The sequence below is a fragment of the Homo sapiens genome, chromosome X (assembly GCF_000001405.40).
Source record: "Homo sapiens chromosome X, GRCh38.p14 Primary Assembly".
Lineage (NCBI taxonomy): Eukaryota > Metazoa > Chordata > Mammalia > Primates > Hominidae > Homo > Homo sapiens.
Window position 1 is genome coordinate 9,945,351 of NC_000023.11, and position 24,320 is coordinate 9,969,670.

The window sequence follows — 24,320 nt, forward strand, 5'->3', positions numbered from 1 at the left end:
TCCGCCTACCTCAGCCTCCCAAAGTGCTGGGATTACAGGTGTGAGCAACTGTGCCTGGCCTCCTTCCTTTTAATTGAGGGGAAAAGGTGCTTATCAGATGCAGGGAGTTGAACCGTCATTGGACTGCAGGGTTGCGGGATCTTCTCAAAGAACTGTTACCTCTTTTTAACATCTTTTTAGATATTCCTATTGACTCTTACTGATAATTGTCTCTTCTTAGAAAAATCATGTTGTTGTTGTTTTTACTTTTCTTTTACCATGTATAAGTCCGTAACAGACATGCCTGCCTGCTGACGATCGTAAGTACTCAATGATAGCTATTTTCTTGTGGTGGTTGTAGCTGTGATTTAACAAGAGGGCATGTATCAGTCTAGAAGGAAGCAGACAGTGCATCTAACTTCAAGGCGTTTCTCAGTGGGTCTGTCTTTTCGTCCTTTCACATATGAACCAAGAGAAATAATAGCTGCCTCGTTGGCTTTTACCTCATAGGCCAAATATCAGTAAAACAGCTAGTTTTGTTTGCACAGAACAGGCCTTCAGAATGTTCATCTGTATCATGAATAAAACATCTTAACCTCTCTCAGAAGGGGAGCAGAAGAAGCACCCTTCCCCTTTCTCCAGGTGAGGGTGATTTGGGCCACGCAGAACGCTGTCCTGGCGCTGGGCTTGGAGACGGTGCCCTTCTGCACTCAGCCGAGTGCTTAGTAACTGTGTCGTGGAACTAGCTAGGTCAGGGTGGCACCGTGCCCGAGGGGGCTGCTGGCCGACACCCGTGCACAGCACTGCGTCTTCTCCACCCTCAGGCTTCCTTGTGTGCAGATATGCTCTGCAGGCTCGGGGGCTTCTCCTCCTCCTGCCAGGAGCATTTAGTAAGCCTACCCTGAATTCCTCTCGAGTCCACCCATGTGGCCAGCTGTCCCACGGTGTTCCCATGGAGCGGACCTTGACGCCAAGAGGGCCCCGCAGTCCTTTGCCCTTTGCAGCATCTCAGAATTCTGTCGTTGTGAGTCCCTTGGTGACTCTTCTGCTCACCATTCGAGGCAGGTGGGAGAGAGTCAGGCTCAGACAGCAAGAGGAAACCCAGAGAGGCCTGTGGGCGGCTTCTGGGGGCCTCAGGCTGGCCCGCTGCAACCATGAGACACATGCCCCCAGGCCCTGGGCCCTGGGTTTGTCTGTGTGGACCCCATCGGATCTCTGGTGGCATCAGGGTTTCCATCGATAAGTTGTGGGACCAGCCCACAAGTTGCCAGTGTCTTCAAGGGTTGGCCAGTGCCCCAGCTTTCATCCTGGTCCTCAACAGGCTTGTTTGTCTGTCAACAGCAATCACTGCTTGAGAAGCAGAGAGTCCTGATCCAGCAGCACGAGGACGCCAAGGAGCTCAAGGAGAACCTGGACCGCCGCGAGCGCATCGTCTTTGACATTTTGGCCAACTATCTGAGCGAGGAGAGCCTCGCGGACTATGAGCACTTCGTGAAGATGAAGTCGGCCCTCATCATCGAGCAGCGGGAGCTGGAAGATAAAATCCACCTTGGTGAAGAGCAGCTGAAGTGCTTATTGGACAGCCTTCAGCCCGAAAGGGGCAAATAAGAGACCAGTCCCCGGTGGAGGAGGGGCACGGGGCCTCCGAGCTCCAGCTCCGTTCCCAAGGATACTCGTGAAGACCCCATCTGTGTTCATGGCCTGGAAAGAGACTTCTCCCATAGCAAAGAGGCTGTTATAAAAGCAATAACTTTTGTGTTTGTGTGGGATGATTTATTTAATTTTTTAGTTTCCCCTTTGATTGCTGAGAGCCATTTTCCTTTACACATAACTACACCTGACACCAGGCTCTGCTGGATGTGAGTTTCCACTGCATGGGCTGTGGGCTGGGCCTGTGGTGCCTGCCGAGTGGTCACTGTCAGTGGGAAACCCGTTGTTCCTCCCGTCTTCAGATGCTGAGCCAACTGCTTGGACAGCAGCCAGCGCGTCATGACGTGCATGAGAGGGGGACCCTGGTGCTCATCTTCTCTTGTCATTCATCCAGGCATGGGCTGCCAGGTTTTGTCCCTGCTCGTTCAACAGTGTGAGCATTTGTCTCTGTTATCTAATGATGTTCTCTGACCCAGCAGAAATCATCATCATGATGATGATAATTTATTAACTTTTTGGAAGGGTGAATAGTTTCCTAATGGTTAAAAACCAACTGTGAAAGGAACCACCTGTGTGGTTGGGTTCACTCATTCTCAGATTAAATTGCCACTTAAAGAAATAACGTGCATGCTTTAAAAAACACAGTCACGCACCAAGCAGGCAAATAGCTTTAGTCCTTCTCACCTCACATCACAGTTGTTCTGCAAAGTAAAATTTTTTGGTTAAGAGCGTGTCCAGTAGTAATGTGCTTGTTAGCTGTTTCTCAAGACCAACAGAAGATTTTTTCAGTTACTTTCCCCCCATGTATTTTGTATGCATATGATTGTCCGTGATAATTGGCTACTTTTCCATTGTTTCCTCCTTAAATCGTTTAGCATGGCATGAGGGCCACATTCCATGGACGGGAAGACCCCTTCCTCTTCAGAGGTCCCGTGGACTACACAGCTCCTGAGCTTGATCTTTTTCTGCCATGAAGTTTAAAGATTCTATGCCCATTTCCTTGATTGAAATGGCAGGATTCTAAAGAGAGCCTGGTTTGTTAAAAGAAAACACTGTCATGCTGTCAGTTCCCAATTGACAAGTCACAGACTGGGAGAAAATATTTGCAAATCGTGTATCTGACAAAAGGTTTGTGTCCAGGATGTACAAAGAACTCTCAAACCGGATAGTAAGAAAACAAACAGCCCAAGTGAAAAGCAGGCAAAAGACTTGAATAGACACTTCACCAAAGAGCATACACGCGTGGCAAACAAGCACACGAAAAGACGTTCAGCCGCCGATGGCTTGGTTATAATTTATAACTTACTTATTTTTATCTAATAATTGTAGATTCAGTGTATTTCTTCAAAAAATGTTTAATTAAATGCATGTTAATGGTGAGTGAATCCCTTGGGTGACTTCGTGTTTAGGTCGTATTAGGGCATTTGTTGGATCAACGGATCATTTTAACCCTGACTTCCCCTTATTCCCATAAAAGAAGTTTTCCAGTGGAATGGAGATTTCATTTTGTCAGCAGCAGTGACCACAGCCTTACCAAAGCAGACGCGTGCGCGTGCACAGATGCACACACACAGATGTCTTAAAAGACTAGAATCCACACTTCCTGAGCCAGAGGGGCCGTGTTGACGGTAATGCATTCTCTATAGAGCCAAGTCCAAACTGGCAAGCTCAATGATGCAGGCAATAAACCGCCTTTTTGGCAGCCTACCAATGCCAAAAGGATAAATGTCTTTCCAAAAGTGTGTATTCCTGTTAAATTAAGCTCTTGCTAACTTGAAAAATCCCTGTTCTGCCAGCGAAGCTTCCTCCTCCTCTCCAGCTGGTAGTCACTTGCGTGAATGCTGGTCAGTCTGAAAAGGTGAAGCTGGCTGTGCACTTACCCCCATCTTTCTCCCTCGGGGAGACGACCCAAGGAATTTCAGAGTATTTTGTTTGGCAGAGCTTTTACCTGTTATTCTTTGCCCTCAAATACAGTATTGTGGTCATTTTGATGATATGTGTGTAAAATGTGAATAATCCAATTGGTGTCTGTACTCAGCCTTTTGATGTCTTTTTAGGACTTTCTCTTCTACACAGCAATACGTCGTGCTCGAGTATCCTTGTAGCAAAGCACATAGAGCCAGCTGTCCTGTCAGTTCCCCTGTTTGCCTCTGAAACGTCTGGTTAGTGGGGACCCAAAGATTCTAGTGAGTCAACATCCATAACTCTGTATCTAGTTGTATTATTCATAGAAAATCAATCTGGTGCTAATGGTTGGCCCTGGTGTTGTTGGGTGGCAGCTGCTCCTTCGCCCTCTTGTAGTGTGGCTGTGGAGGGCTCTGCCTATGGGGGGTGGCCTGTGGCTTGTATCCTTCAGTCCACCACAGCAAATGTGTGTAGATTTCATGCTCGACACTTACCACTCACCTATCAACAGATCATCCTGCTTGACTGTAACAAAATAAATAGTGTCTCTTCAAGTGAATGGAGATGTCTTTGATTTACCTACTTTACAGCTTTTGTAAAAAAAGAATGTCCTCACCATACGTCAGATTCTTAAGCCATCTGAGTAAACCGTGGGATTGATTATATGTGTGTAATTTATTTACACTAGTCGGTTTGTGGTGAGGAAACAGGGACCAGGTCGCATCACTTAGCTGGTGCCCCAGTAATGCTGTGTAACAAACTGTAAAATGTCAGCAATAATCTGTGCAACAAAGTATTGACTTAGCTCATGAATTTGTAGATGAGCTAATTCGGGCTGGGCTCTGTGCTGTGTGCCTCTCCTCTTCCTCATGGGACCAGCCGTGTGGCTGGATGTGTTCATGGCAGGGGCACAAGACAACACACCCTGTCACAAAGGGGCTTCTCCTGGCTTTGTCCTGTCATACCTGCTAACCTTCTTCTGGCAAAGCACATCTCCTGGCCAACCCCGGCACCAAAGGGTGTGGAACAGGCTCCACCTTTTAGTGGAGGAACCGTAAATTCACATGGCAGAGTGTGGACACAGGGAGGGATGAAGAACTGGGGCTGTCCATGGGCTCCATCTCGCCCGCCTCCTCGTGTCTACTGATAATGGAGTGGCACCAAAGTGGCTGGGACCACGGAGTCAAGTTGCCTGGAGCAAAGCCACCTCTGTCACTGCTAGTTGTGTGGCCACAGCAAGTAACCCAGCCTCTGTGAGCCCCAGCTCCTCTCTCGTAATTGGAGATGGGCTGCTGTGAGGTCAAGTGAGTTGATAAATGTTGGTGTGCTTAGACGCCATGCTTGGTTCACAGCACGGCTGCATAAGCTGTGAATACGGCTCTTATCCTGTTGTGCACCTGGAGGAAACACTGTCCCTGTAGTCAGAATAGATCGCCCGCCAGAACCACCCGAGAGGTAGATAACGGTTGATTTCTTTTATTTGGTAGGATTAGAAGTGTTTCTGCTAGGGAGCAGATTTGTGAGACCTGAAGGTTAGGCAGTCAGGGTTATGGGAAAACACTTGGAAAAAAAGACGCAGCCTTTCTCTGTCTGTCGCCCAGGCTGGAGTGCTGTGGTGCGATCATGACTCACTGCAGCCTCCAACTCCAGGGCTCCAGTGATCCTCCCACCTCAGCCTCCCAAGTAGCTGGGACTATAGGCGCACTCTCTACCACACCTGGCTAATTTTTTATTTTTGCAGAGACAGCATCTTGCTGTGTTCCCCAGGCTGGCCTCAAACCCCTGGCCTCAAGCCATGCTCCTGTCTTGGCCTCCCAAAGTGCTGGGATTACAGGTATAAGTCACTGCAGCCCAGGGATGGGTTTATATGTGTTTTCTTGTGTTTGTTTAAACTCCCTTTCTGTCTATGATTGTCAGATTTTTTTTTTTTTTTTTTTTTTTTTTTTTTTTTTTTGGAGATGGAGTCTCGCTCTGTCGCCCGGGCTGGAGTACGGTGGCGTGATCTCAGCTTACTGCAACCTTCACCTCCCTGGCTCAAGCGATTCTTGTGCCTCAGTCTCCCAAGTAGCTGGGATTACAGGTGCCCACCATTATGCTCAGCTAATTTTTGTATTTTTAATAGAGATGGGGTTTCACCATGTTGGCCAGGCTGGTCTTGAACTCCTGACCTCAAGTGATCCACCCACCGTGACCTCCCAAAGTGCTGGGATTACAGGCGTGAACCACCGCGCCTGGCCTTATGATGGTCATATCTTAATTTATATGTTTAACCTCTTGTTAAACTTTGGGCTGTAAATTAGAGCAGGTTCTGTGATTCGGTCTAATGTTTTCTAATAGTCAAAAAGTGGAAACAGCTCCGATGTTCATCAGTAGGAGAATAAATAATGATAGTCTACTATGTACAATAGAATACTGCTCAGAAATACAAAGGCATGAATTACTGAAGCACACAAAATATAAGAATGCATCTAAGAAACACTGTGCCAAGTGGGAGACGGCTCAGGTAAGAAGAGTGCCTGCTGCAAGACTTCGTTTATGTGAAGTTCTAGAATGGGCCAAATTGTCTGTGGTAGAAAATATCAAAGTCATAGTTGTCTCCAGAGGTGGGGGTGTGCACAGGGTACTTGGGGTGAAGTTCATGTTCTGCAAATGGATAGGGGCATGGGTTACACAGGTGTTGGCTTTTGTCAGAATCCAGCCATCATGTACTTAAGATTTGTGCATTTTACGAGAGAAGGAAAAAATAAATATTGAACTGCACTTCATGCTATGCGGGCTGATGTGTTTAGGGAGGAATATACTGATGTCTGCAATTTGCTTTGAAATGCATAAAAAATAAGATGGGTGAATGGGTGGGGAGAGATGAATAGGTGTATTGATACGTGATAGGCACAGTAAAACACTAATGGCAGAAACTTGGTGGTGAGTATACAGGTGTTTACTGTAAAATCCTTTCAACTTTGCTGTTTGAAAATGTTCTTAATCACACACTGGGAGAAAATAGGCACCTCACCCAACATAGCCTTCCTAAGAGCCTTCCAGATGATCTGTCTGCTCTTAGGTGTTCACAGAAAAGATGCAAAAGCCATTTCCTGGGCATATAGTTCACTTATTCTCTTGTTGATGTATTCATACAGATATAGTTATTAATATTCTTTCTCTGTTTACCAGAAAATTATAATATGGTATATTTGTTTGTTCTTGCATTGCTACAAAAAACTACCTGAGACTGGGTAATCCATAAAGAAAAGAGGTTTAATTGGCTGACAGTTCCACAGGCTGTACAGGAAGCATGGCTGGGGAGGCCTCAGGAAACTTACAGTTATAGCAGAAGGTGAAGAAGGAGTCACGTCTCACTAGGTTGGAGCAGGAGGGAGAGAGAGAAGGGGGAGGTGCTACACACTTTTAAACAACCAGATCTCATGAGAACTATCATGACAACAGCAAGAAGGAAATCCATTCCCATGATTGAGTCACCTCCCACCAGGCCCCTCCTCCAACATTGGGGGTTACAATTCAACATGAGAATTGGGCAGTGACACAAATCCAAACCATATCATTCTGCCCCTGGCCCCTCCCAAATCATGTCCTTCTCACAATGCAAAGTACAATCGTCCCTTCTCAACAGTTGCCCAGTGTTAACTCATTCCAGCATTAATTCTAAAGTCCACAGTCCAGAGTCTCATCTGAGAGAAGGCAAGTCCCTTCCACCAATGAGCCTGTAAAATAAAAAACAAGTTACCTCCAACATTCAGTGGGGGTACAGGTATTGGATAAATAATCCCAATCCAAAATGAAGAAATCTGCCAAAACAAAGGGGCTACAGGCCCCATGCAAGTCCGAAACCCAACAGGGCAGTCATTAAATCTTAAAGCTCCAAAATAATCTCCTTTGACTCCATGTCTCACATCCATGCCATAGTGATGCAAGAGGTGGGTTCCCAAGGCCTTGGGTAGCTCTACCCCTGTGGCTCTGCAGGGCTCAACTCTCATGGCTGCTCTCAAGGGCTGGCGTTGAGTGCCTATGGCGTTTCTAGGTGCATGGTGCAAGCTGCCAGTGGATCTACCATTCTGGGGTCTGGAGGACAGTGGCCTTCTTCACAGCTCCACTAGGCAGTGCCCCACTGGGGACTCTGTTGGGGGGCTCCAACCCTACATTTTCCCTGTGCACTACCCTAGCAGAGGTTCTCCATGAGGGCTCTGCCCCTGCAGCAGACTTCTGCCTGGATTTCCAGGCCTTTCCATACATCCCCTGAAATCTAGGCAGCAGCTCCCAAGCCTCAACTCTTGCCCACTGCACACCTGCAGGCTTAACACCACATGGAAGCTGTCAAGGCTTATGGCTACCACCCTCTGGAGCAGCGGCCTGAGACACATCTGGGGCCCTTTTAGCCAACGCTGGAGCTAGAGCAGCTGGGACACAGGGAGCAGTGTCCTGAGAATATGTAGGGCAGCAGGAGCCCTGGGCCTGGCCCACAAAACCATTTTTCCCTCCTAGGTCCCTGGGCCAATAATGGGAGGGGCTGCCGTGAAGGTCTCTGAAATGCCTTGGATGGATTTTCCCCATTGTCATGGCTATTAACATTCAGCTCCTCTTATGCAAATTTCTGCAGCCAGCTTGAATTCTCCCCAGAAAATTAGTTTTTCTTTTTTACCACATGGTCAGGATGCAAATTTTCTAAACTTTTATGCTCTGCTTCCCTTTTAAATATAAGTTCCTGTTTCAGATCATCTCTTTGCCCATGCATAGGACCATATGCTGTTAGAAGCGGCCAGGTTACATCTTGAACACTTTGCTGCTTAGAAATTTATTCTGCCAGATACCCTAAATCATTTCTCTCAAGTTCAATGTTCCACAGATCTCTGGGGCAGGAGCATAATGCCTCCAACTTCTTTGCTAGCACATAACAAAAGTGACCTTTGCTTCGGTTCCCAATAAGTTCTTCATCTCCATCTGAGACAACCTCAGCCTGGACTTCATAGTCTGTATCACTATTGGCATTTTGCTCACAACAATTTAACAAGTCTCTAGGAAGTTCCAACCTTTCCCTCATTTTCCTGTCTTCTAAGCCCTCCAAACTGTTCCAGCCTCTTCCTGTTACTCAGTTCCAAAGCTGCTTCCACATTTTCAGGTATCTTTATATTAATACCCCATTCCTGGGGTATTGATATAATTCTGTATTAATTCATTCTCGCATTCCTATAAAGAACTACCAGAGACTGGGTAATTTATAAAGAATAGAGGTCTAATTGGCTCACAGTTCTGCTGGCTGTACAGGAAGCATGGCTGGGGAGGCCTCGGGAAACTTACAATCATGGCAGAAGGCAAAGGGGAAGCCCGCATGTCTTACATGGCCAGAGAAGGAGGAAGAAAAGAGAAGGGGTAGGTGCTACACACTTTTAAACAACCATATCTCATGAGAATTCACTATTATGAGAACAGCAAGGGAGAAATCCACCCGCATGATCCAATCACCTCCCACCAGGCCCCTCTTCCAACATTGGAGATAACAATTCAACATGAGATTTGGGTGGGGACACAAATCCAAACCATATCATACAGTGTGCATGAAGGACTTCAAAGGGATGTTAAAACATTTATTTTTTATACATGTGCATCAGGCAAAGAGGAAGTTTTTTACAAATCCCTGTACATACTCTTGCCCCTTAAAACACTGTTTGACGTGTGGTGTCATCCAAGTTTCATGTCAGGGTTCGAAGTTGATATAATCGCTGCTTGCTTTGCTGAGTTGCTTTAACATATCTGGATATCATCTTTCTGTGTGTAGAGCGTATACCCAGGTGCCTCTGCACACATTTGTTTTTTCATCAAATGTTTGTTGAGGGTATCCTCAAACCCCTGTGCTCTTTGAGTGTTGGATCTTTGCTCTGAAGGCAGGAAAGGGAGTGCTGAGACAGCAAAGGTGACTGGAATGCCAGGAGCCTCATCTGGCTCAGAAGAAGCCCCCAAGGGCAAGCAGCATCCTTGATGTGGTGAGCTGAAAGCCAGCTCTCCCTAAAGATCTGTGGCCCCCTGGATGGATGAGTTCCCTTGGCGTCTTGCTATGCTATTTTTGTGATCCATTTCAGTCAAAGATGTGTGAAAAGCATTTTATAAGTTGTAACGTGCCCTACTGTCACTAAACCTCATACCATCAATTTTATAAAGCTCTTTTAGTGAGACCAGCCTTGCAGCAATTGCTCTATATTTAGGAAAGCAAAGATGGATATTACAAACCACAAAACTGCCCCGTTCAAGAGTTTTTTACCTACATGATAATTTTGCCTTCTCCCTGTGTTCTCTCTTTTCATAGGATTTCACCTACATATCTGTGCGTGTGTGTGTGTGTGTGTGTGTGTATTTTTTTTTTTGAGACAGGACCTCACTCTATTGCCCAGGCTGGAGTGCAGTGGCACAGTCACAGCTCACTGCAGCCTCGATCTCTCTGGGTTCAGGCAGTCCTCCCGTCTCTGCCTCCCAAGTAGCTGTGACTACAGGCGTGCGTCCCTCACCTGGTTAATTTTTCTATTTTTTTGTAGAGATGGAGTTTCATTATGTTGTCCAGATGGGTTTCGAACTCCTGGGTTCAAACGACCCTCCCAAAGTACTGGGATTACAGGTGTGAGCCACCCTGCCCAGCCTACATATTAATTTTGCTTTTGAAAAGGGAAAGTTAAGCGAATGAGAACTGGGTGTCGAAAGGATCCAGAGATTAAGATGTACACATCGAGATCCCCAGCCTGGTGGTGGCGACTCCATCGTAAGCCTGGAGTGTTTCTCCACTGACTTGACACAAGTACATCCAGCTGCCCTATCTCAATAGTGAGTTGATTTAGAGCAAACACGTCCTGTGAAGGAATTTTTAGACATTTTTGCTCTATTACAGCTCATTATGTAGGCATTTAAAGAGAGCTCAAGAATATGTAGGAAAAAATGTTTCTAAAAATTCTTTGTTTTCTCTGGCATTTCCTAAGTTCTAAACTTTAAACTTTTTCTTCAGAGAGGAATTTATTTTTATACCAATGACATTTGATTACTCAACTGGATATACTTAAACAGCTAAACATTCTACCAGAAGACTGACGTCCTTGTTCATATCCGATCATATATAAATACTGGCCTATGAACAAAACTGGGGAGATGTGTTACCCTTTTTTTGTTATTTATTTTTTTTAATTTAATCATTATTATTGTTGTTATTATTATTATTATTATTTTTGAGATGGAGTCTTGCTCTGTCACCCGGACTGGAGTGCAATGGTGCGATCTTGGCTCACTGCAACCTCCGCCTCCCAGGTTCAAGTGATTCTCCTGCCTCAGCCTCCTGAGTAGCTGGGATTACAGGCACGTGCCACCACGCCCAGCTAATTTTTGTATTTTTAGTAGAAACGGGGTTTCACCATGTTAGCCAGGATGGTCTCAATCTCCTGACCTTGTGATCTGCCCACCTCAGCCTCCCAAAGTGCTGGGATTATAGGTGTGAGCCGCCGCGCCCGGCCCTATTTATTTATTTTTTGTGGCCCATTCTAATCAAAGGAAGAAGAAAAAAAAGAATATAGCATGCAGGGAGAGTTTCAAATACGAAAAACCCTGAGTGTGAATATTTTGTTTACATTATTCTGCTCGTGCAGAATTTTCAGTCTTAAACTATCGCCTGTAGAACGGATATTTGGAATTAGAGTACTTTTTAAACTATTACTGGCATGAGCCTTTCTTCTTAAATTGATTCAAAGGACTCAAACTATTAGCAAATATTACATGTTGTCTTAATCCGTTCAGGCTTCTATAACAAAGTACCATAGACTGAGTGAATCATAAACAACACAGAAATTGATTTCTCACAGTTCTGGAGGCTGGAAATCCAAGATCAGGGTGCCCCTGTGGTCAGGTTCTGGTGAGAACCGGGTTGTTGGCCTGGTTGTATCCTCACATGGTGGAAAGAGAGCAAAGTAGCTCTCAGGCCTCTTCTTATAAGGGCGCTAATCCCATTCATGGGGAGTTCTGCCCCCATGACCTGATTACCTCCCAAAGATCCCACCTCCTAATACCAGCACACTGGGGTTAGGATTTCAACATCTAGTTAGGGGATAAGGGGGGCAAACATTCAGTCCATAACAGTTGTCAACTTTTTAGCATATATAAGAAAAGCATGTTCAATTTTTTTTTCTTATTTTTGAGAAGGAGTTTTGCTCTTGTTGCCCAGGCTAGGGTACAATGGCGCGATCTTGGCTCACTCCAACCTCCGCCTCCTCGGTTCAAGTGATTCTCCTGCCTCAGCCTCCCGAGTAGCTGTGCCACCAGGCCCGGCTAATTTTGTATTTTTAGTAGAGATGGGGCTTCACCATGTTGGCCAGGCTGGTCTCGAACTCCTGACCTCAGGTGATCCACCCACCTCGGCCTCCCAAAGTGCTGGGATTACAGGCGTGAGCCACCGCACCTGGCTTCTTCAATGTTTTTCTAAGTTTGATTGAAAAAGAAACCAAAATGGTATTTATGAATTAGAAGGGAGAGATGTAGATCTTAATGTATATGACAGCTATAACCTAAAGGTTGCAAGGAAAAGGACACACCTAGTGGTAAAGTTGCTACATTCCTCTGGAAGTAATGAAATATTAATTCTGAATAGGCTATGGACCGGGCACAGTTGCTCACGCCTGTGATCCCAGCACTTTGGGACGCCAAGGCAGGAGGATCGCTTGAGCCCAGGAGTTCAAGACCATCCTGGCAGCATGACAAAACCCCATCTCTACTAAAAATACAAAAAAATCAGCCAGGCATGGTGACCTGCACCTGTAGTCCCAGCTACTGGGGAGGCTGAGGTGGGAGGATCACTTGAGCACAGGAGACAGAGGTTGCAGTGAGCTGAGATTGTGCCACTGCACTCCAGCCTGGGCGGCAGAACCACGCCCTGTCATAAATAAATAAATAAATAAATAAATAGTTTTTTCAAAATAGGCAATGAAATGCCTGTGTATTGTCATCTCTAGAACAAGCACTTAAAAACTGTACAAAGAGATTCAGACAACTCAATAGATAACTTTCGACCTTGCTCAGATAGCCCAAAAGAGGGCAGTAGAAGGGAAGCCGCAACAACAACAACCAGAAGAAACAAAACAAATATTAAAATAGCAGACCTGCCTGGGCGCGGGGGCACACACCTGGAATCCCAGCACTTTGGGAGGCCGAGGTGACAGGATCGCTTCAGCCCAGGAGTTCAAGACCAGCCTGGAAGACATAGGGAGACCCCGTCTCTACAAAAAAAAAAAAAAATTACCTGGGTGTAGTGAAATGTGCCAGTGTTCCCAGCTACTAGGGAGACTGAGGCAGGAGGATCACTGGAGCCCAGGAATTGGAGGCTGCAATGAGCCATGATCACACTACTACACTCCAACCTGAGCGACAGAGTAGACCCTGTCTCAAAAAAGAAAAATAAATTCTCCAAATACTGTAAAAAAAAAAAAAAAAAGGAAGTGGCTATTTCTGCTCTCCACATGAAAATCTGTTATATGACAACACTTGGAGTTCATCAAACACTTGGAGCCCAGTGGGAGCAAGACTGTACAGCTACCTCCCTCCAAGTTCAGATTGGCCCTCCTGCCTTCTGCCACAGAAGGGGACTGGTGGTCTGGTGATTATGGGCGGCGGCGGTGAAGGGGGTAATTGGGGGCATCGGATATAGATTCTCAGGCACTATTTCTACTGACAGTCCCCCGTACTTCCCCCGCCGACACCCCACTCCCTGCAGAAGCACCTGGTACCACAAAGAGTCTTGCTCCTGGCAGGTCTGCATCTCAGCCTTCTGGTCTACCCAGCCAGTTGGCATTTGTCTATCACCTTTCCTGCTACCAGGATCTTTTTGGTAAATCATCTGCTGTGTTCTCTGAGGGTTAATGCCTCTTTTAAGCTGTTTCTGTCATTTTAGTGGGCTTTGAGGAGAGGGTGTAGTTAAATGCATGTGTGCATTGCTTTTTTTTTTTTTTAAAAAAGATAACCAATAGTGCAGAAAAGCACATAAACTTGTCACATTGTAGGACACTGAAGAACAAAAGAGATCACATAGAATTCCCCAGCCAGTCAGGAGTCTGAGACCAGCCTGGCCAACATGGTGAAACCCCGTCTCTACTAAACATACAAAAAATTAGCTGGACGTGGAGGCGGGCGCCTGTAATCCCAGCTACTCGGGAGGCTGAGGCAGGAGAATCGCTTGAACCCGGGAGGTGGAGGTTGCAGTGAGCCGAGATTGCACCACTGCACTCCAGCCTGGGCAACAAGAGCAAAACTCTCTCAAAAATAAAAAATAAAAGAATTCTCCAGCCAGACATAGGCAGTGTGTTAGTGTCCTATTGGTGCTGTAACAATTTACCACAAACTTAGTGGTTTAAAATGCCACATTTACGCATTACAGTTGTGAAGGTCAGAAGTCTGTAATCTGTCACGCCAAGCTAAAGTCAAGGTGTGAGCAGAGCTGTGTTCCTTTCTGGAAGCTCCAGGGAGAATTGGTTTCTTGCCTGTCTAGTATCTGGAGGCCACCCCATTTCTGGTCTCACGACCCCTTCCTCCATCCGCAAAGCCAGCAGTCTAGCGTCTTCCAGTCTCTCCCTGACCCTCCTTCTATCATCTCATTTCCCTCCCTGACCCTCTTGCCTCCCTCACACAAGAACCCTTGTGATGACACTAGCCCACCTGGATAAGCCGGGATCATCTCCCCACATCTGGATCCTCGATTCCATCACAGCTGCAAAGCCTGTTTTGCCATGGAAGGCAACATAGCCACGTACCCCCTTCCTTCCTTCCTGCCCTCCCTCCTTCCCACCTTCCTTCCTTCCTTCCCCCATTCCTCCCCTCACTCTCTCCTTCCCTCCGTCTTTCTCTCCCTCTTTCCCTTCCTCCCTCCCTCCATTCTTTTCCTCCCTCCCTGTCTCCTTTTTCCTTTTGCTTTTTTTAAGGAAACAGGATTATATAATAATATTTTCGAAATCTGCTTTTTACTTAGCAGTATTGGGAACGTTTTCCTTAATTATTCTTCAACATAGTATTGAATTTTGGTGTGATATCCCATTATAAGGATATAAAATGGTTTACTGAACAGTTCTCTAAGTGTGGTTTTAGGATTTTGCCTTTTTGTCCCAGTTGTAACCTCAGTTACAGAGTTCATTGGGTGTGCTTTGCACTTAGATCTTTGCACACATCTCTGCTCATTTGCTCAGAATAAATTCCTTCTTATGGAAACCCTGTAAGCAAAGGAGTCCGGTGGGATTTTGACTTCCATGTAATGTTTAGTCCTACATACTGGGTAGCTGGCATCGTTTGCCTTTTGGCAGCCTCATTTCTTACACAGGTTCCATTTGAAGCTGTCCCCAGTCTTAGCAGGTCAGTTTCACACACTCCGCATCTTCCACTTGTCTTACCTACCGAAACTGTTCCAACAAGCCTGTAATTCAAGACTTAGCTAGAAAAAGGTCATTTCCCATGAACTAACAGTGTCTTTCCCAGCTGGCGCGGTGGCTCGCTCCTGTGATCCCAACATTTTGGGAGGGTGAGACAGGCAGATCGCCCGAGTCCAGGAGTTGAAGACCAGCTTGGACAACAAAGCGAGACTCCATCTCTACAAAAAATACAAAAATTAACCAGGCATGGTAGTGCGTGCCTGTGGTCCCAGCTACTTGAGAGGCTGAAGAGGGAGGATCTCTTGAGCCCAGGAGGTTGACTGAGGCTGCAGTGAGTTGCAGTTTTGCCACTGTACTCCAGCCTGGGGGAGAGTGAGACCTTGTCTCAAAAAAATAAAATTAAAATTAATGGTGTCTTTCCTAATACATGGGTTGTCAGTGGCCTTCACAACTCAATCTCATCCAGGTTGGTGCCACTTCTGCTAACGCCTGTACTTATATATTACCACTGCTTAAAAAAAAATGTCGGCCAGGCACAGTGGCTCACGCCTATAATTCCAACACTTTGGGAGGCCGAGGTGGGCGGATCACGAGGTCAGGAGTTCGAGACCAGCCTGGCCAACATAGTGAAACCCCCATCTCTACTAAAAATATGAAAAAATTAGCTGGGCGTGGTGGCAGGTGCCTGTAATTCCAGCTACTCAGGAGGCTGAGGCAGGAGAATCGCTTGGACCCAGGAGCCGGAGGTTGCGGTGAGCCGAGATCACGCCATTGCACTCCATGCTGGGTGACAAGAGTGAAACTCCGTCTTAAAAAAAAAAAAAGCATTACCTGCAGGTGATATGAGTTAGACACCAGTTCTAGGGCTGGTGGGGAGAGAGAAATTAGGAGCCCATACGAATGTTGGAGTGGACCCTGCAGGTGTATTAGCAAACATACCTACCCTCCAAAGGCTGACAGAGCAAAAGAGGCTACATGATGAAGCAAATGAAGCAACTAAAGGGTGGTGGCTGCAGCGACCTCAGGACCTAGGACTGACACCTGGATGAGCAGGGTGACTGGTGGAATGTGGGAACAGAACAGAACATTGAGGGAGGGCCTCAGAACTGGAAACCATGGCTACCGTGTTGATGAGAACTCCCAGCTGCCTGGACCAAGAAGCCGGTGCTGAAGAACTAGGCAGGACGTCCGAGAGGAGCTGTGTCCATGTCGGCCCCGCTGGCCAGGTGAGCTGACTGCCCTCCCCTCAAGCCACCGGTTCATGCGAAGACCACGTCGCTAGGTAGCGGAGGTTCATTCCCTCTTTATTGTGTATTTATTTTTTTATTGTGGTGAAGTATATGTAACATAAAATTGACCATTTTAGCCATTTAAGTGTACAGTTCAATGGCAGTAAGTACATGTAATTGTTGGGTAACTGTCACCACTGTCCACCTCCAGAACTTTTTATCTTCCCCAAATGAAACTCTGTCCCCGTGAAACATGAACTCCCCTTTAGTTCCCGCCAGCCCCTGGCAACTACCACCTACTTTCTGTCTATGAATTTGACTCTCTATTACAGGTACCTCCCATATGGGTAGCCAGACAGTTTTTGTCCTTTTGTGACTGGCTTCTTTCACTCAGTGTAATGTCTTCGAGGTTCGTTTGTGTGGTAGCCTGTGTCAGAACTTCCTTTTTGAGACTGTGGATAGAAATCGTATTTCTGGTGTCGGTATAGACCACATTTGGCTTCCATTGTCTGTGGGTGGGCACTTGGGTTGTCTCCACCTTTGGTTACTGTGAATAATGTTGCTATGAACATGGGTGTGGAAATATGTCTTTGAGTCCCTGCTGTCCCATCTTTTTGAGTATATACCCAGAAATGGAATTGCTGGATCACATAGCAATTCTTTTTTTTTTTTTTTCTAAGAGGAAATCTCCCTCTGTCACCCAGGCTGGAGTGCAGTGGTGTAATCTCGGCTCACTGCAACCTCCGCCTCTCGGGTTCAAGCAATTCTTGTGCCTCAGCCTCCCGAGTAGCTGGGACTACAGGCACACACCACCACACCCAGCTAATTTTTTTTTTTTTTTTTCTACTAGAGACAGGATTTCAACATGTTGGCCAGGCTGGTCTCGAACTCCTGACCTCAGGTGATCCACCCACCTCGGCGTCCCAAAGTGCTGGGATTACAGGCATGAGCCACGCACCAGGCGCTTTTTTTCTTTTTTGTGAGACAGGGTCTCGCTCTGTTGCCCAGGCTGGAGTGCAGTGAGATCATGGCTCACTGCAACCTCGAACTCCCAGGCTCAGGTGATCCTCCCACCTCAGCCTCCTCCCAGGTAGCTGGGACTATAGGTGTGCACTACCAAGCCTGGCTAATTTTTGTAGAGATGGGGTTTCACTATGTTGCCCAGACTGGACTTAAACTCCTGGGCTCAAGCAATCCTCCTCCCACCTCAGCCTCCCAAAGTGCTGGGATTAAAGGTGTGAGCCACTGTGCCTGGATGATTTTCCTACCTTTTTAAGGCTGAATAATATTCCATGGTATGGATAGATCACGTGTTGCTTCTCCATTCATCTGTCAATGGACACTTGAGTGGCTTCTGCCTTTTGGCTACTGTGAATGAGCTGCTATGAACATGGGTGTGTCAATAACTGGTCAAGACCCTGCTTTCACTTCTTTTGGGTATATGCCCAGAAGGTGAATTGCTTTATCAGGTGGTATCTGTTTTTTTACTTTTTTAAGGAATTGCCATACTGTTTTCCACAGCATCTGCACCATTTTACATTCCCATCAACAATGTACTAAGGATCCCATTTCTCCACATCCTTGCCAACACTTGTTATTTTGTTTCTTTAAAATAGTAGCTGGCTGGGTGTGATGGCTCACGCCTGTAATCCCAGCACTTTGGGGCCGAGGAGGGTGGATCACCTGAGGTCAGGAGTTCAAGACCAGCCTGGCCAACATGGCGAAACCCTGTCTCTACTAAAAAGACAAAAAAAATTAGCTGGGCGTGGTGGCACATGCCTGTAATCCCAGCTACTCGGGAGGCTAACGCAGGAGACTCGCTGGAACCCAGGAAGGCTTGCAGTGAGCGGAGATCACACACCACTGCACTCCAGCCTTGGGCAACAGAGCAAGACTCTGTCTCAAAAAAAATTTTTATATTTATAGTGAGTGTATGTTCTTACACTAAGGACGGTAAATAAAGTAGGAATCAGGAGGCCTTCACAGGACTGGGGTTAATCAAAAGTCAACACTGCTGGATTAGCATCCAAGATGGAGTCACTTTTGTCTCCACACAGGGCTGTTCCTGTGTCTGCATCTTCTCTGAAGAGCCATCTCGAAATATGCCGAAAAAGGATATATATCTCTTTTGTGTATGAACCTGTGTGATACCTAGCGAAGCCTACGGACCTTTTTCCAGAAAAGATGCAAAAACAAGGTGCCCAGGATTACACTTATTTTGAAATGCAGTTATTGAACCAGGCACAGTGGTTCATGCCTATAATCCTAGCACTTTGGGAGGCCGAGGTGGGAGGATCACTTGAACCCAGGAGTTCGAGACCAGCCTGGGCAACATAACAAGACCCCCATCTCTACAAAAAAATACAGAAAGAAATTAGCTGAGTGTAGTGGGACACTCCTGTGGTCCCAGCTACTTGGGAGGCTGAGGTGGGAGGATGGTTTTTGCCCAGCAGGTTGAGGCTGATTGAGCTATGATCACTTCACTGCACTCCAATCTGGGAGACAGAGACCCTCTCTCTAATAATAATCATCATCATTTGTTCAAGAATATCTTGCCAAAAAGAATGATTACTATAAATGTGGCATCCGCCAGGAATGTTCCGGCCGTTAGGAGGGACTTCTGACATCAGCCTGGAACAACCTCTGACCCATCCCTCCCCAGCATGCCTCCCCGATAAAGTTCAGACCCTCAGTGTTCTCCAGCAACTCTTTCTTTCCTTCCTCCCTCCTTCCCTCCCTCCCTCCCTCCTGCCCTTCCATTTCTCTCTCCCTCCCTCCCCCTTCCTTCCTTCCTTCCTTCCTTCCTTCCTTCCTTCCTTCCTTCCTTCCTTCCTTCCTTCCTTCCTTCCTTCCACTCACAATGTCTATTTTATCCCATCTTTATTCATCACTTAAAAATGAGTGTCTCTTTCCAGAGTGGATCTTCCTTGGGAAGTCGGGGAGAGGTATGTGAGCTACTCCTCTGTACCCTTCCCAGCACCCAGGAGAGCCTTTCAAAGTTTTCTGCATATACATGTGGGTGTCTTTTAAAAACAAAACTGGGGGCATACAACTACACACACACACACACACACACAAACACAAACACACACAAGGAGACACACAAACACACACAGGGAGACACACACAAATACACAACACACACACACAAGGAGACACACACAAACACACACAAGGAGACACAGACAAATACACAACACACACAAGGAGACACAGACAAATACACAACACACACAAGGAGACACAAACACACACAAGGAGACACAGACAAATACACAACACACACAAACACAAACACACAAGGAGACACACAAACGCATATATATATAAAACAACATGTATATTTATACATTCTTTTGCATCCTTTTCCCACTTAGCAAACAGTGACAATTTCCTGTCACTAAAATGCTTTTGAAGACTTCATTGTAAATGGTTGAATAGTATGCTATATCACCTGGAATTATGAAATGTACTTAAGCATCCGTATTGCTTCACATATTACTTGTCTCCAGATTTCTCTTATTCCTAGTGTCAACAACACCCCTGGTGAGCATCAGTGCCCAGACACTTTGATCCCACTTCTCTGATTTGTCCACTAGAATTGGTTCCAAGAAATAGGAGATTGGGTCAGGAGACAGCCATGTTTTTATTACTCTTGATAATAATTTTTTTTTTAGGCGGAGTCTGGCTCTGTTGCCCAGGCTGGAGTGCAGTGGCTCTATCTCTGCTTACTGCAGCCTACAACTCCCGAGTTCAAGCGATTCTCCTGCCTCAGCCTCCCGAGTAGCTGGGACTACAGGCGTGCACCACCATGCCCGGCTAATTTTTGTATTTTTAGCAGAGATGGGGTTTCACCATGTTGGCAAAGCCGGGCTCAAACTCCTGACCTCAAGAGATCTGCCCTATTCGGCCTCCCAAAATGCTGGGATTACAGGTGTGAGCCACCATGCCTGGCCTTACTCTTGGTAATAATTAATTAATACACTTTTATGTTTGTGTCTCTGTATGCTCACCATTTTTTCCAATTAAAAAAGTAATAGACCTTAAGACACGAAAAGAGAAATCACCAGTAATCCTAATATTCAGATGCATCTTGTTTTGTCTTCCCAGCCTATTTTATGATAGGCAAAAATAAGATGATACTACTATAGATACTAACGAGTTTGTTATCTGCATTTTAGATCCAACCCACCATGGACATTTTCTCACGTTACTAAATCTTTTTCTACTTTACTATCTGCAAAGTATTATAATAAATGATTGGCTTCATTTTAACATATACTAGGTAGTAAAGTGTATTTATGTACTCAAACTAATGAATCTTCCATTGCTTGACAACATTTTATTGGAGACATGGTCTTGCTATGCTGCCCAGGCTGGTCTCAAACTCCTCGGCTCAAGCAAGTTTCCCGAGACAACTGTTTTGTGAAATATTTTTTATTGTTTTCTTGTTTTAAATAATCATGCTTATTGCAGAAATATTTGAAAATACTGAACAGCCAGGCACCTTTAAAAAATTACAATCTGAGTGTCATAAATGGACACAACATTGCGTGAAAGAAACCAGTCACACAAAAGCATTGACCGTATGATCCCCATTTTGAAAAACAGGCAAAATAGAAGTAAGATGTGTGGGGATGCATGCTGAGATGACAAAACTATGAAAGCAAGCAAGGAAGTGGGAATATTGTGTATCTGAAATGAAATGCTGGCTCCATGGGTGTTCACCCCACCATCGTTCATTGAGCTGCACACTTGTGTGCTTTTCTATATGTGTGTGACCCTTCACAATCCAAATAGCTTAGAAAAAACTCAGAATCTCTCAAACCCAGTTAAAAATGTCTCCTAATAGCTTAGGATGTAGATTTTCAGTTCGATTTGTATCTATGATTATATCGTACATATTATTTTGAAACATGTAATTTGTATTTGAAATATTACGGACACCTCCCTTTTGGTCACACAGAATGTCAACTAGAATGGCTGTCATGAAAAACATTAAAAATACCAAATGTTGGAGAAAATATGAAGAAACTGGAACCTCCATCATTGCTGGTGGGAATATAAAATGGTGCAGCCACGTGGGAAAACAGTTGAGCAATTTACAAAAAGTTAAATGCGCACTTAACATATGAACCACCAATTTCACTCCTAGGCATCTACACCAGATAAACAAGGACATATGCCCATACAAACTTTTATATTCAAGTGTTCATGACAGCATAGTTTATAATGGCCAAAACATGGCACCAAACCAAATGTCCAAAAGCTGATGAATGAACAAACTGTGGTCTACCCACACAATGGAACACCATTCAGCAATGAAAAGGGACAACCTTCTCATACCTGCTGCAACATGGATGACCCTTGGAAACGTGCCATGTGAAAAGAGCCACACAAAACTCTTATACCTTGTATGATTCCATTTGTATTGTCAATGTTGGCGTATAGCTCCATCGCGTGGACATAGCATAAATTCCTTCACCAAGCCCTGTTGTTGGACTTGACGTTGTTCCCCGGTTTCCAATATTACAAGCAATGCTGTGAGGACCATCTTTGTGGCTACATATTTGTGGCCGACCTTATTCATGTCTTTGCACCAATGCCCAGAAGTGGAACTGCCAGTCTGAAGGTGTGTGCATTTTAAAGCTTTCGGGAAATATCGCGGAGCGGCCCTGCACAAAGTTTGCTCAGACTGCACTCCCACCAGCAGATCTAGAGGGTCTAGTGTCTCCTTTCTCCAATACAACACCTCCCTCTTGGCGCTACTCACCCATGGGAGGCTGTCCCAGGTCCCAGGGTCCCCCCGCTCACCATGCTCTGTATTTGTTTGTAGTTTCCTGGGTGCGCTGCCACCATGGTCTGGTTCTGCAACAGTGCCGACTGCCAATTTTCAGTCTTCGCCCTTACCACCATAGGATGGATCCTCTCCTCTACGTCCACGGGCCTCGTGGAGTGGCGAATATGGTACATGAAAGACACCTCGCTCTACCCCCCTGGAATCGCCTGCGTGGGAATATTTAGAGTCTGCATTTACCGGCGTCGCACCAACAGCACCACAACCAAATTTTGTTACCGATACAGCTACCAGGACACCTTTCTCCCTTTTGAAATTTCCATGGCTCAACGCTTCCTACTGACTGCCAGCATTTTCGGATTCTTCGGGAGAGCCTTTAACATGTTTGCACTTAGAAACATGTCCATGAGAATGTTTGAGGAGGACACCTACAATTCATTCGTTGTTTCAGGAATTCTCAACATTGCTGCTGGTGTCTTTAACTTAATTGCTGTGCTCCAGAACTACGATGCCGTCATAAACTCACAGGGGATCACCTTCCTGCCATCTCTCCAAATGCCCTTCAAGCCAGATGTGCAGGAAGTTGGCACTGCCATTCAAGTGGCAGGGATAGGTGTCTTGCCGATGCTGTTAACTGGGATGTTTTCTCTGTTTTACAAATGTCCCCCGTACGGCCAAGTGCATCCTGGTATTTCAGAAATGTGAATTTCCTGGTTGCATTGGCTTTGCAAATCTAAGATTTCTGGGAGTTTATGGAAAATGTTATTAGCATGCTCTACCAAATATTTCCAACGACTCAAGACCGTGGCATGGGTAGTTTGGGACAGAAGGTGGCCAACTGCCTCCTTCTGTTATCTTGTGTATCTGAATGTGGCTCACTGATTTGTTGGTTGAATTGAGAACTTTTATTTAAAAGTCTTCCCACCTGCCAGTTGGTCTTATTGCATCTGAATTTTAATTATTGTTGGCTACAGCAAATAATCAACCCTGTAAACTAAGAGTAGGGAAATAAGAGTTTCTGAGTACATTAACTTCTCACATTTCCCTCTTAAACTTTTGCTACAAACAATCATAGGCCAGGCATGGTGACTTACGCCTGTAATCCCAGCACTTTGGGAGGCCGAAGTGGGAGGATCACTTGAGGCCAGGAGTTCAAGACCAGCCTGGGCAGCATAGCAAGACCTGGTCTCTACAAGAAAAAAAAAAAATAGCTGGGTGTGGTGGTGCGTGGCTGTGATTCTAGTTACTTGGGAGGCTGAAGTGCGAGGATCACTTGAGCCCAGGAGTTGGAAGCTCCAGTGAGACGTGATGGCACCACTGCACTCCAGCCTGGGCCATATAACAAGACCCTGACTCTTTAAAAAAACTCCAATAAACAAAAAACCAAGAATGGACCTTATTTTCTATGTCATGGTAATAACATCTCCCTACCATATAAAGTTTTCTAAAATGTGCAAAAGTAGAGAGGATAGCATAAGGAATCTCCACACACCCATTGCCAGACTCCACAGTTACTGAGATTAGGGCACTTCTGCTTTCTCTTTCCATTCTTTTACCTTTCTAATCTATGTTTCTTTTTCCCAAGTTTTTTTTTTTTTTTGAGACAGAGTCTTGCTCTGTCGCCTGGACTTGAGTGCGGTGGCGTGATTTTAGCTCACTGCAACCTCTGCCTCCCAGGTTCAAGCGATTCTCCTGCCTCAGCCTCCCGAACAGCTGGGATTACAGGCACCTGCCACCATGCCTGGCTAATTTTTGTATTTTTAAAAATATTGGGGTTTTACCATGTTGGCCAGGCTGGTCTCAAACTCCTGGCCTCAAGTGATCCGCCTGCGTCGGCCTCCCAAAGTGCTGAGATTACAGGTGTGAGCCACTGCACCCGGCCTCTTTTTCCTAAGTATTTTAAAGCAAACCCCAGACACCATGTCCCAGACACCATGTCCCTTCATCCCCATATACTCTTAAAAAGTGGACACTTCTCACATAACCATATATGTAAAAAACTGAGCAGTTATTCCTCATTATGAAATAGTCAGAATGTTTAGATGCCTTAAAAATAATTCTGTAGTTTTATTTGTCCCACACAAAGTGCTCACTCTGCCTCTGAAGTGTCCATCTAAAACACTCCCCCAGTGCACGCGCGCACACACACACACACAGAGCAACCCCTCTGCCTTTTTTTTTTTTTTTTTCCCTGAGGCAGGGTCTCACTCTGTCACCCAGGTTGGAGTGCAGTGGCATGATCAAGGATTGGTGCAGCCTTGACCTCCAGGCTCTGGTGAGCCTCCCACCTCAACCTCCAAAGTAGATGGGACTACAAGCGTGCACCACCATGCCTGCCTAATTTTTTGTATTTTTATAAAGATGAGGTCTTGC

General features: G+C 45.7%; 2 protein-coding genes across 7 annotated transcripts in view; both read left to right on the forward strand.

Annotated features, from left to right (window-relative positions):
- Positions 1 to 4,093, forward strand: part of SHROOM2 (shroom family member 2) — a 163,015-nt gene extending 158,922 nt beyond the window's left edge. For all 6 annotated transcript variants that reach the window (NM_001649.4, XM_005274500.5, XM_011545506.1 and 3 more), the window contains one exon: positions 1,321 to 4,093. In NM_001649.4, coding sequence (NP_001640.1) covers positions 1,321 to 1,587 — 267 coding nt within the window. In that variant the 3' untranslated portion in view covers positions 1,588 to 4,093. The remainder of the gene's footprint in view (positions 1 to 1,320) is intronic.
- Positions 22,008 to 23,002, forward strand: CLDN34 (claudin 34). Its single transcript, NM_001195081.2, has one exon. It carries the CDS (start codon positions 22,008 to 22,010, stop codon positions 22,650 to 22,652), a length of 645 nt encoding a protein of 214 aa, NP_001182010.1. The 3' UTR covers positions 22,653 to 23,002.
- Positions 23,003 to 24,320: the final 1,318 nt, after the last annotated feature.

Coding starts and splice junctions, on each gene's coding strand:
- CLDN34 (NM_001195081.2), top strand. CDS start 22,008: ATGGTCTGGTTCTGCAACAGTGCCGACTGCCAATTTTCAGTCTTCGCC.